Below are 13,280 nucleotides of genomic sequence, written 5' to 3'. Positions count from 1 at the left end.
CCGTCCACAGTGGCTGCCTGTCTGGGCCAGGAGCAAGACAAAGGAGTAGGGGCCTGGACAACAGGGAAATTCAGGAAGAGATTCTGGGGCCACAGTACCGAGCACTCCCCGTCCTCTCTCCACACTTCCCTACTCATTCCAGAGAAACTTGAACGGGCTTCTGCTGCTCCTCATCCTAGAACTGCCCCCGTGAAAAGCAGTTTGTTGACATTCAACTGCCTGAGGCCCTGCTTGAGGCCACCTTAGAACTCTGGCTTTTTAGCCCATGTCTCAGTTGGTTCCCAGTATCTCTGGCTTTTTGCTCTGCCTCAGTTTCCCCTGCTTTGGAGGAGGCCCCCTTTTCTCTGTGAGGCTTCTCCATACCACTCTCTAGCTTTCCCATGTGCCACAAAGCCTGGCCGACCCCATCATCCCTCCAGATTTCATGAGAATGTGTCCAAACATTGCAGTGATGCATTGAGAAACAAACAAATTTGATGTTTTTATAGGAAGAAATTGAATTTCAATGGTTCGTGGGAGGCTTAGATGAAGAAGACAGGTCTTACCAAAGGGACTTTGAGCAGGGCCTGACCAGTGAGTGGACCCAGGCGCTGGGGGGACAGTTTGGGCAGAAAGTAAGATGTGGGCAAAGCTGGAGAAGGGGGCTCATTGGTCGGGGGATGGTAAGGTTGAAGATATAGGTACTAGATAACAGGGCACCTTGAAGTTTGCCTGTGTATGTTCTGTCAGAAGTGGTGAGGCTTGGAAGATTTCTCCAACAGGTGAACGGTTTGATAAGAGGGACACTCAGTGGCCATTCATTCATTGAGTGAATATTGGTGTGTTCTGTGTGTTAGGTCTGATTTCTAGAGCTTAGATTTTATTTTATTTCCAGAGACAGGGTCTCTGTCACCCAGGCTGGAGTGCAGCAGTGGCGTGATCATAGCTTATTGCAGTCTTGAACTCCTAGGCTTAGGCAATTCTCCTACCTCAGCCTCCCGAGTAGCTGGGACTACAGGCACGTGCCACCAAGTCTGGCTAATTTTTTACATTTTTTGTAGAGATGGGGTTTTATTATGTTGCCCAGGCTGGTCTTGAATTCCTGGCCTCAAGCGATCTGCCCACTTGGGTTTACAGACATGAGCCACCATGCCTGGCCAGAGCTTAGGTTTTAGTAGGGGAGACAAATAGGATAATGAAGTATCAGACCTGACCATGCTCTTTCCAATAGCAACTTGCTGCTCACTGTCCTCTTTTCTTCACTTTTTCTCTGCCGAACTTTTCACCTTGGGACATACATAGTATTTTCTTTGTCCATCCTTCTTCCCCGTTGCAGTGTCAGCTCCATGTGGGTGGGGTCTTTACCTGTTTTGTTCCCTTCTGCATCACGAGAACAGTGCCTGGCACATAGTAGGTTCTCCATACATGTTTCTTAAATGACTAAGCACTCTACAGGAAATTAAAATGAGGCAATAAGAGCAATGGGTGTTTGCAAGTAGACACTCTCCAATGGCCTCTCTGAGGAGGTGACATGTCAGTCAAGCAACTGTAATAAAAAGTTCCTCTGGGCAAGGAGTGGTGGCTCATACCTGTAATCCCAGCATTTTGGGAGGCCAAGGCAGGCGGATCACCTGAGGTCAGGAGTTCAAGACCAGCCTGGCCAACATGGTGAAACCCTGTCTCTACTAAAAATACATAAATTAGCTGGGTATGGTGATGTGCACCTGTAATCCTAGCTACTCAGGAGACTGAGGCTGGAGAATCACTTGAACCCAGGAGGCGGAGGTTGCAGTGAGCCAAGATCGTGCCATTGTACTCCAGCCTGGGCAACACAGCGAGACTCCGTCTCAAAAAAAAAAAATTTCCTCTGAAATTGCTTTCTTAACATTGGCTAATCATGTGGCAGTTAGTGCTGAGAGTAGCATAAAAAATATGCTTAATTTATTCATTCACACCACAGTTATTGGCACTCCTGCCAGGGGCCACATACTGGTTAGAGGCTGGGCTTCAAGCCAGGTTCCCACTCATGACAGGGAGAGTGTGGGCTGGTGTTGTGTGGGAGCCACACCTGGCCGAGTGTCTGTTGCTTGAGGGGGTTGCTTGGACTGTCTACTTTACCCTGTGCTGTGGATGAGAAAAATGTGAAAAGTTACTGCTAAGCACTAACTAAGCATCCCGGTTTTGGACTTTCTGAAACGATGTGAACGGAACAAATCTCACTCCCTGGCAGCAGCCCTCAGTTTGTATGAAACTTTGTCTTCTTAACAGAGGTGCAGGTCTCGTTTTTGTTTGCTTCGTTCCCCTCTGGTGGTGAATGCATTTCATTTTCTGAAGCCACTTGAAGGTCTGTCCATAATCAGAGGTGCTCTTTGCCTTCTTTCCGGGGCTGCGGATTTGCCGGCCAGCTGTGGAAATGAGTTTTTGCCCGGCTTTGATTTTCATGCCTTGCCTCCCCGTGGGAGGAACTAGATATTTCTGATCTTACCTCTGCTCATATTCAGATCCAGCCAAGCAATCAGTGACTTCCCGGGCTTTTTTGTGGGAGACTGTGGGAAAAGTCCTGGTTGGCTGGCTATGAATTAATGAAATCCTTAGAAGGCTTCACTAAAGATAGCTCCTGTGGCTTACAAAAAAAAATGGCATTGCCTTTTTAATTTGAGAAGGACGTCATGGAGTTTTACCAAAATTAAGCAGAAAAAATGTAACATCTGGTTGTGCTGGCGGAAGACTGCTTCAGGGCCTCTGGAGCTATGAGTTCCCAGTGCTGGCATGCCCAAGGTGACTGTCACCTGCCCCTATAGTGCTGCTATGGACAGGCCGCCTCTCATTGTTCTCCTCCTTGGGTTTTGAAGTCATTGAGAGACAAATTCTACCTCCCACATCTTTTCACTTGAGCACATTTCCCATCTACTGAGCTTTCTTATTTTACTTAAAGGGTCACACATTTTTAAAAGTACAGAGTTTTCGAGTTGATCAAGACTAGTGTAATCATTGCTTTTATCTCATTAAAAAAGGATGGGGGTAGATAATGGGGGCAGCAGGCCAGCGAACTTTTAAAGAGTTCTAAAAAGGAGAGTGAGAATGGTAAATTGCTGGAGAAGAGTTTTAGGGAAAGGCATATAGGAGATTTTAAATGGATTTATGACGTGTATGTATGTGTGTGTGTGTGTGTGTATATATATATATATATATATATAATTTTTTTTTTTGAGACAAGGTCTCACTCTGTCACTCAGGCCGAAGTGCAGTCATGCAATTATAGCTCGTTGCAGCCTTGAACTCCTGGGCTCCAGCAATCCTCCTGGCCCAGTCTCCTGAGTAGCTGGGACCACAGGCGTGTGCCGCCAAGCTTGGCTATTTTTTTACTTTTTTTTTGTTAAGACAGAGTTTCACTGTGTTACTCAGGCTAGTCTCGAACTCCTGGCCTCAAGCAGTCCTCCTGCCTTGGCCTCGCAAAGTGCTGGGATTACAGACATGAGCCACCATGCCCTGCCTAGAGCATACGTTTTCTGAAACGATACAGGAAGATGAAGTTGTTGCCATCCCAACCCCCCAACCCCTCAAGCAGGCAGCTAGTCACCTGTACAAAATACAGGTATATATAATATATAAAATGTAAATATAAATGTATATAGTGTGTAAAATGTATGTATATAATGTATAAAATACAGTCACCTGTATATTAGAGTCCCTTACAGCCCCACATGGGGATTCCCCATTATTGTGCTCTTTCTCCCATCCTTTGTATTCTGAAAATTTTCGAATCTGTAGAAGAATTGAAATAACAGTAAAATGAACACCCATTTCCCCTTTGTCTAAAGTTACCAATTCATAACGTTTTGCTACACTTACCTCACTTGTCCTTTTAATGTCATTCATAATTTCTTTCTGCATCACATTCTAGGGGGCAGAGAAGGGTCACTCATTGCTTTTTGATGTCCTGTCTCTTTAGCCTCCTTTAATACAGAACAGTTCCTCTACCTATTTTTCGGTCCTTTATAGCCTACACATTCTGAAGAGTCAAGGCCACTTGTGTACACAATTTGGATTTTTGATTGTTTCCTCATGAATAGGTTCAAATATTTTGACAAGACCCCTCTAAAGGTGATATTGTGACTTTGTTGGATTTTACATATCAACTGGTAACAAATGTAGATGCAGTTTTAGCAATAAGAAAAATTTGTTTTTTCTGTGTGAAATTGTTGTATTTAGAGATCTGTGCTAATAGTAGTACCCAGTTTAGTCTTGTGTTGTCTTTTTAAAAATGCAGTGTTTCACATTAAGCCTTCCCTTTTACTTTATTGAGAGTCTAAGGAAATGCAGGATGTCATTTGTGCTATCCTGTAATAAACTTTTTCCTTAAAGATTATTTGAAATCAACCACACTGTCTCAAAATGAGGAGTGCTATTTCTCAAGAATGCTCAAGGCTTTTGCTATTCACATGGGCTTGTTGCAGTTATAGATGTCGCCCTCAGAGACGGGGAATGAGTTCCTATTAAAGACCTGTGTTTGGCCGGGGCAGGTTTACGGTTGACTGCTTCCTCACACCAAAATTCAGCCATTTCTTTCCTTTGTGCTAAGAAAACATTGAACTTTATTTCCAGTAAAGGCTACTTTACTAAAAACGTATCCTCCAAGTCAGTTTCTAGCCTTTTAGTTCTGTGATTGCATGTTACCTACATTATTTTATTAGAGTCCGTTACAGACAGTTTCATTAGTTTAACTTGAATTATTATCTTCTACCTAATTACATGGCTTTTGTTTCTTTCATTTTACCCCACTCCAGATTTAAGGGCCAAGACATGTAAAGTTAATATTGGTCATTTTTCAAAGTAAGTTAAAATGTCAAAAAGCAACAAGTTGTTATTCTTACAGGGTACCAGGGAAACAACAGAGACAAAACCTCCATCTTTTATTCATAAGTCCAGAGAGACTACGAGGGCGCAGGCAGGCCTGTGTGCCGGGCGTTTGTTCAGCTTTCAGGACTGGGCCTCCTCCCCTGCTGGCCATGAAATGTCATGCCGAGATGTAATAGTGGGACATTCAGCATCCAGAGAATGGTCCGCAGAGATTCAACTTTGCTTTTCATTTTCTTTTCTGGCACCAAGTCCACAGTCCCCTCTGTGGCCTGACAGTGAAAGGCCAGAAAGCAGCGATTTAGATGCTGGCAGGAATGGTGTGCAGCCTCTGCCCAGCGGGCCGGAGCTCCTGGGCTGGAATGCATGCTGGACACAAAGGTCGGGTGAGGGTATGCTTTGGTCGGGGGCGGGGGGCAGCTTGCCTTTGCTTGGTCTCGTTTGCTCTGGTCACAGCCGAGAGAGTTCTTGTTTCTATGGCTATGCTACCTTTAGTTTTGTGGAAGAGGGAGTGCAAGGTGCTTTTGATTTCAGAAATCACTCAGGGTTAACCATTTTTGTGTAGAAGGAGGCACTGGGGGCACAGTACTGAGTCTGCGCAGCTCCCCAGGCTCTGACATTTCCTTCGGATGAAGCAAACATAGGCAGCATTTGCTAAACAAGCCTAGACTTTGATTTAGAGCAGTGGTTTTTGATTGGGGGAATTTGGGGGATTTCTTTTTTGTTTGTTTGTTTGTTTTGAGACAGGGTCTCTATCAACCAGGCTTGAGTGCAGTGGTGTGATCACAGCTTACTTGCAGCCTTAACCTTGATTTGGGGAATTTCTGGAGACATTTTTGGTTGTCACAGCTGGGGTAGGCTGCTCCTGGCAGTCAATGGGAAGGGCTCAGGGATGTTGCTAAACATCTTGAAATGCACAAGTCAGTCCTCCATGACAAAAAATTACCTGGCCTAAAATGTAAATAGCGCTGAGACTGAGAAACCCTGATTTAGGGGTCCCATCTTAGTATTTTGATTTCTCAGCCCTCTTAGCCTCATAACACTTTTGAGCTTCCTATCTGTTTAACAGAAGCTGCTGGTTCTATAAATTTGCACTCAGGATGAATTTCCATGAAACTCTCCAAGACATATGATTAAATTATTGTGGTGCTCCTTGAAGATATGCCCTGAATGCAACTACTATTTTAAATGCAAAAGACAATTTTTTGCCATAATTTGATCAAAGTAGCATAACCTGTGCCTCTGTTTTTGTTACTCACTGATGGTCTGTGGATAACATTACATTTTTTCAGCATGAAACCCAACACTTCAAATCCCTAAAGCAGTCTCAAATTTATGGTTAATAAAAGCATTTATTGTACTGGATGTCATCTGTTATATCACTCTGGGGCTAGAAACTGGCAAGCAGTGGACAGGAAATATTTTCATTTCAAATCGCTTCAATCTTATGGTCTAGGGGCAAAAGTGTCTGATTTCAGGAAAGCCGCAGTGAATAGCATAGTAATGAATGCATTTTTAGTTGATTAAGCAGGCATTCTCTCCCTTTCAAACAATCTTCCCTCTTTGGCTTGGAGGGGCTAAATAAACATGTGATATTAAATGATAGCATTTCTTGTGTTGGCCATGCCTTTTCTTTGATCATCTTAAACTTTTCAAAGTGTTTTCCAGGAATCCTCAGCAGAGCAGGAGCAAGCCAGAGGAGAATGGCTAAACTCAAGTTTTGGCCCCCTTCGTAATTGTTTACTTTCTGAGCAGAGGAGGTTTTCTGAGAAGATGCTGACTCTTCTGAATTCCTCTTTAAAAATGGAATTTGGTACCTCACCCTTGGGATCATGAATTTAGGAGGAAAAAATATTTTGAGTTTTTGTTTATTTTCAAAAAGTCTGCAATTTTATTGTAATTTGAGTCCCGATCTCTCACATCCATCAGGTAAAGAGGGTGAGGAGAGTTCCATCCAGAGGAAATCTGGTGAGGCGATGACATATCCGGGACAGTGTACCTTTCGTCCTGACTGCCCAGCCTTTGAACATGTTACCTAAGTCATCACTTCCCAGCAAGCCTCGGAGGTAGACAATTATTTCTGATGTGGTTCCCTTTTTTCCAGATGAGGATTCCATGGCACAAAGAGCCAGGAAGGGATTAAGATGAGAATCCTTGTGACTCGGAGAGGCCTCTCTCTGCCAGAAACCGGAGCTGCAGAGTTCTTACCCTGCCCATGCCCCCAGCAGTCGGGCTTGCCCTGCCTTCCAAGCACCCTGTCTCAGATGGACGGCTGCCATGTGCAACAAAGCAACTAATGGGGGGTGGAAAGAGGCGAGACTAGACAGCACTTTGGAGATAATTAAATTAAACTCAGATTAGGCAATTACCCCAAAGATTCCCAAACCTGGCTGAACACCAGAATCACCTGAGGAGCATTCTTGGAGTGGGGGGAGATTCCGGGCCTCACCCCAGACCTGCTTAAGTGGGATTTCCAGGGGAAGGCCAGGAATCTGAGTTTTTAAAAAAGCTGCCAGATTAGTGATTGCCAGGGTTTTGGAGGGATGGAGGGAGGGCTTGACTACCAAGGGGCAGTACAAGGGAATTTTTTGGGTTGATGGGACTGTTCTGTATACTGATTATAGCAGTGGATACATACATATATATGCATATAACTTGTGGACCCATACACCAAAAACTGTCAATTGTACTGTGTAAATAAAAATAAATATGCTGCCCAGGTGAAACTGAGTTATCTAGGTGTCAGTTGAGATGGCCTGTGGTGCCTGGTGACAGCTGGGAAGAGCTGCCCAGCTATGAGAGAGTGTCACCTGTTATTGCAGAGGCAGGCGTGGGCAGGTGCTGAACTCTTTAGCCCAGTGCTATCCAACAGAACTTCCTGTGACAAAAAATGTTCTTCCCAGCACCGTTCAATTCAGTAACCATCAACCACTTTTGGCTACTGAGTACCTGAAATGTGGCTAGCACAACTAAGGAACTGAATGTTTAATTTTACTTAAACTTAATTTAAATTTAAATCATCACACATGGCTAGAGGCTACCCTATTGGACAGCTCACCCTCAAAGGTAGACATGGTGATATCATGGAGCTTTGGCTCTGTGCAGGATGCACACCGTGGTACTTTATACTCGAGGGACAATAGTAAGTCATCCCAAACATTGGGTAAAATGGAAACATGGACAGGACTTACCAATATGGGTAAGTACAGAGAAGAAGGAACCTTGGGATGAAGACTCACCTGAGATCTGCCCAGGCAGAGGACAATTCTGCCGAGTGAAGGAATCGGCTTTTTTTTTTTTTTTTGAGATGGAGTTTCGCTCTTGTCACCCAGGCTGGAATGTAATGGCGTGATTTCAGCTCACTTCAACTTCCACCTCCTGGGTTCAAGCGATTCTCCTGCCTCAGCCTCCCATGTAGCTGGGATGACAGACAAGTGCCACCACACCCAGCTAATTTTTGTATTTTTCACCATGTTGGCCAGGCTGGTCTTGAACTCCTGACCTCAGATGATCGGCCCGCCTTGGCCTCCCAAAGTGCTAGGACTACAGGCGTGAGCCACCACGCCTGGCCAGGAATCTGCTTTTTCTTCTCCAAAGATAGCACCATCTTTGGCCCACTTCCTTCCCCAACCTTCCAACCTTGTTCATTTTAAAAGGTGCAGAGGTTAGTTGGGATGCTCTTGAATTATGCTCCCATTCTTCTGCAGTGATAGGATATACAGGAAGCCATCAGAGGGGCCAGGTGAGCTCAGTGCAGAGAGGTGGGGATGTTCTGGGCTTCACTGGGCCCACCTGCCTCCCTAGACAGAGTGTGATGAAGAATCTGTGTGGGCATATTGTATTCCTTTTTGGGGAAGGAGAGCATATAAAAAAGGCAATTAGGCATAAACTTCCTGCTTTATGCTTTGAGCACATGACCTTTACCTTGGCTTGTGTTCAGACGCTCCTAAACCCACCTCCTCGACCCCCATTGATTTATGTTATCTTAGTGTTACTTTTCCAAATGTGTTATAAAAGAATGAGATTCAGGGAGTGTGGACTTTTATTAGTACAAACCAAATGGTGGCAGAAAGAATGTTCCAATTTGTAAACATATGTGTTCTTAAATAAATTTGCTAAATGGGTAACAAAAAATTTCGTGAGCTATGGTCTTATAACTGGAGGTTTTGTTAATCTGATTTAAAAATAGGACTGACTTGAAAGCGTAAAAATGGGGAGGTAGGTTTAAAATTAGTGGGTCTTCTTTCCTTTTTTCTTTTCTTTTTTTTTTTTTTTTGAGATAGAGTCTCGCTCTGTTGCCCAGGCTGGAGTGCAGTGGCACCATCTTGGCTCACTGCAACCTCTGCCTTCTGGGTTCAAGCGATTCTCCTGCCTCAGCCTCCTGAGTAGCTGAGATTACAGGCGTGCGCCACCACACCTGGCTAATTTTTGTATTAGTAGAGACGGGGTTTCACTGTGTTGGTCAGGCTGGTCTTGAACTCTTGACCTAGCGATCGCCCCCCCCCCCCCCCCAACCTTGGCCTCCCAAAGTGCTGGGATTACAGGTGTGAGCCACCGTGCCCAACATTCTTTATTTTTTATATGAAAACTTGACTTCTTTCGATCAGGAAGAGAACATCCTGGATGGATCATAACATCTCTAAGGAGAGTTTCCTTGTGTTGCCTTTACAAATTGGTTACTTCAACCTTATAAGAAAAATGAAGCTTACTGAGTATTAAGCTCCATTACATACTGATTCTTCTACCCTTGAACACACAAACAGATCTTGTTGCATAGCTGCTATAATCACTGTGTTTTATTTATTTATGGTTATTTTTTACTTATGTTTGTTTTCCAAAGATATTTCCATGTATTGATGTAGTGCACAGACATGTCACTTTTAGTGGCCATATGATATGTTCATGTAGTAAGCTCCCCTCCCCTTTTTGCCAGTCCTGTCCCCACATTTGATGAGGCATTTGGGCTGTTTCCGAGTTATTACTGTTACAAAGCTGCTATGAACATCTTCATACAGATGGGTTACCTGCCCATCTCCCTTGCCGTTTTGGTTTATTTCCTTGGCATTTATTCCCCAAAGTGGAATTACTGGGTCAAAGGATTTGTGGCTCTCATTTCATACATGTTTACCAGCTTGTCCTGTATAATGACTGAACCAGTTTACTGGGAGGAATTGTGTTTTGAGAAAAGAATAGGTTTGTTTCACGAATCCCAGCTCCACCATTTGCTACCATTTATTGAGACCTTGGGCAAATTTTTCCCTGAGGCTATTTCTTCATCTGTAAAATGTGTTATTAATAGTTCATCTCCCAGGGTTGTTGTTTGTTTTAAGATGTAAGCAAGATACTGTTTTTAAAACATCCAGCTCTGTGCCTGGCCACATGGTAACTGCTTAGTGACTGGCTGCAGTCTTTTTATCAGCAGTATACATGTACTCATTCTTCTCCATCCTAATAATATTGACATTTATCAGCCAGGTGGGTTAAGCCTATGATCCCATCAGTTTGGGAGGCCAAGGTGGACGAATCACCTGAGGTCAGGAGTTTGAGACCAGCTTGGCCAATGTGGTGAAACCCTGTCTCTACTAAAAATACAAAAAAAAAAAAAAAAAAATTAGCCGGGCATGGTTGTTGGGCACCTGTAATCCCAGCTGCTCGGGAAGCTGAGGCAGGATAATTGCTTGAACCCAGGAGGCATAGATAGGTTGCAGTGAGTCAAGATTGTGCCATTGCACTCCAGTCTGGGCGACAGAGACTCCATCTAAAAAAAAAAAAAAAAAAAAGAATACCTCTCACACACACACGAAATATTGACGTTTATATAATTTTTTTTCTTTCTTTTTTTTTTTTTTTTGAGATGCAGTCTCACTCTGTTGCCCAGGCTGGAGTGCAGTGGCGTAATCTTGGCTCACCGCAACCTCTGCCTCCTGGGTTCAAGCGATTCTCCTGCTTCAGCCTCCTGAGTAGCTGGGATTACAGGCATGCACCATCACGCTCAGCTAATTTTGTATTTTTAGTAGAGATGGGGTTTCTCCATGTTGATCAGGCTGGTCTCGAACTCCCAACCACAGGTGATCTGCCCACCTTGGCCTTCCAACGTGCTGGGATTACAGGCATGAGCCACCGCGCCCAGCCCCAAGTATAATTTTTCTTTACCTTTGTTATTTTGGTGGTAGCTTATACTTGTTTGATTTTGGATTTTTTAGAGAAGGACTAAATCTTTCACCTGGTGATTTACCTTCTGAGTATGTTTTAGTGCCTTTAAGTCTAGAAATATTAAAGCTAGGTGTGGGCGAAATGTCGCTTAGTAGAGAGTGTTAGGGAAGATGTTTTAAGTGAATAAATAAGAATTTAAAGTAAGAATTTAAAATAATTATTGATTAGTAAGTCTAAGAATTATTGATTAGTGAGTCTTCCTGACTTACCAGCATATTATGAAAATAATTGAATCTGAATATTATCATGGAAATTCTATTTGTACTGCCAATTTAGCCAGCAAACCTTTGTTCCTTTGTATGTGTGTGTGTGCACGTGCATGCATCAGTGTGTGTGTGTGTGCGCGCGCGCGCGCGTGAGTGTGTGTGTGCGCGCACGCTTTCCCCAAAGTCTTTGGATTGATCGCACATTACCCATAAAGAGAATATATATTAATTCTGTTTTATTGGAGTTTAAAAAAAATCCCGATCTTGGGCTAGAAGCCACCCTGGTTAGGCTGTCTCATTGAGGTCACTGTGACATGTGTGATGAGAGCATCTCAGGCTGACTGCTTGTGACTATGGACAGGGCAGGTGACCCATAAGGCTGTCAGTTTCCTTACTACCTGTAAAGTGGGACAGTTACACTAGAATTATTCTCAAGATTTTAACTATTATTTTTATTGAGGTGATTTGAACCTTTAATTCAGAGGGTGTAATTGTCCTGTCCTACCCACTCCGTGTCCTTATTGAGTTGCCCACCTCTTTTGCTACCTAGACACTTGCCCCTTGCACCTGGGTGTCTGTTTTTCATCTCACTTGGGAAAGAACACCCAACCTCTGACCATTGTTGCAGATCTTTCTCTAATACAAGAAAAGCATTTGTCCTACATATAGTTTTTATTTTTTAAATTGAGACACAGCTTTATTTTTGCAAAATGTGGCCTGTCGGCTCTGCTGGTCACTTTTGATGTGCCTGTGTTGCTTGCGTACATGGAGGGTGCCCACGTCTCCATCTGCCTTCATCCTTCACAATTTCATGTGTGATCACCCAGCTTATCCACATGGCCAAAGACCCGGTGCATCTCCCAATTTTTAACATCAACACTATTGTTAATGATTGATTACAACCCATTTAGTCTTCTGGGCCAGGAGCTTTTAGGGCCCAATCAATCAGTGAATCCATAAACAAGGGGACTGCCTCAGACTCCCTGGGAGCTCTGAATCACACTGGGGTGTTGACAGTCCCAGAGGCCTTTCTGTCAGCAACTGTCTGGGTTGGAGAGGATTTGGGTACTGTGCTAGGTGTTGGCGAGGGCAGAAGAAAGGCAGTCACAGATACAGAAATAGTTTGTTTGACAGTTGATCTGCATATGGGTAATTGCAGAACTGAGTCGTTCATTTTTTACCCTCTTTACTCCCATTTACACCAAGCTGTCTTCTTGTCAGGAAAGCTGGAAGTCAGAATAGTGATACACACATACACACACACCTACACCTTCCTCACCTGTTTTTAAAAATGACTCCTTCCTGGGAACCCCAACATGAAGCAGATAAGAGTGCAGCAGCTCTGGTTGAAGAGAGTGGGGAGAAGGACCCTGGCTGAGCCCCGCCCCACCCACAGGTCCTTGCCTCTCATGCAGGCATTGCTGTTCTGTGGGTTTCCCTCTCAGTCCAAGAACTTATCCTGAGTGATTGTCCACCTGCCCTGGTTGACGTGGCATTGTTTTAGTAGGTCCTCTGGGATGATCCCTGGATATGATAAGAACATTTCTGGAAGAGCCCTGTAAAAGCAATTCCTTCCCCTCCACAAGGGTGAGTTTGGGACTACCCTTAATACACCAGAGTGAAGATCCTGGACTTAGAGTACATGGGTGGGTGGACTTAAAGGGACCAGGGAGACAGAGAAGATAAAAACAGAGATAAGCTTTAAGAAGATAAGGTTATAGCTTGCACTGGCATCCTGTCGTGGGCAGGAGAGGAACCAAGAATGCCTGATAGGCTGTCAGGAAGATGGACTCCTCCACAGGGTCTGTGACACAAGCCAGAGGAGGAAGAGATGGTGAACGGCTAGGGAAAGGAAGAGATGGTGAGCGGCTAGGGAAGAGGTCACTCATTCAGAGACCAAAAGGGCAACTGTGTGTGATAACAGGCCCTAGAGTATGAGGGCACCAACAAGGCTGACTTGATGAAATACCTTATCTCCAGGGGTCACACCCCCTGGAAGCACACTGAGCTTAGACAGAAGTGATG

At 44.2% G+C, this 13,280-nt stretch overlaps 1 protein-coding gene and 1 long non-coding RNA gene across 5 annotated transcripts in view; both read left to right on the top strand.

The window, feature by feature from the left end:
- The window catches only part of IL17RD (interleukin 17 receptor D), an 80,336-nt gene that overhangs the window by 12,881 nt on the left and 54,175 nt on the right, over nt 1-13,280 (top strand). The window contains exon 2 of one of the 4 annotated variants that reach the window (XM_047448369.1): nt 6,766-6,902. The exons of the other annotated variants lie outside the window; for them this stretch is intronic. The gene's annotated coding sequence lies outside the window, so the exon portion shown is untranslated. The remainder of the gene's footprint in view (nt 1-6,765; nt 6,903-13,280) is intronic. 4 annotated transcript variants of the gene reach the window in all.
- On the top strand, nt 3,382-8,970 carry LOC105377101 (uncharacterized). The gene is made up of 2 exons (XR_940865.3): nt 3,382-5,217; nt 6,941-8,970. It is a non-coding gene; the product is annotated as an uncharacterized LOC105377101 (long non-coding RNA).

This window comes from Homo sapiens, chromosome 3 (assembly GCF_000001405.40).
Source record: "Homo sapiens chromosome 3, GRCh38.p14 Primary Assembly".
NCBI lineage: Eukaryota > Metazoa > Chordata > Mammalia > Primates > Hominidae > Homo > Homo sapiens.
The sequence above is the reverse complement of the archived record's forward strand: the minus strand, read 5'-3'. Positions and strand labels throughout refer to the sequence as shown.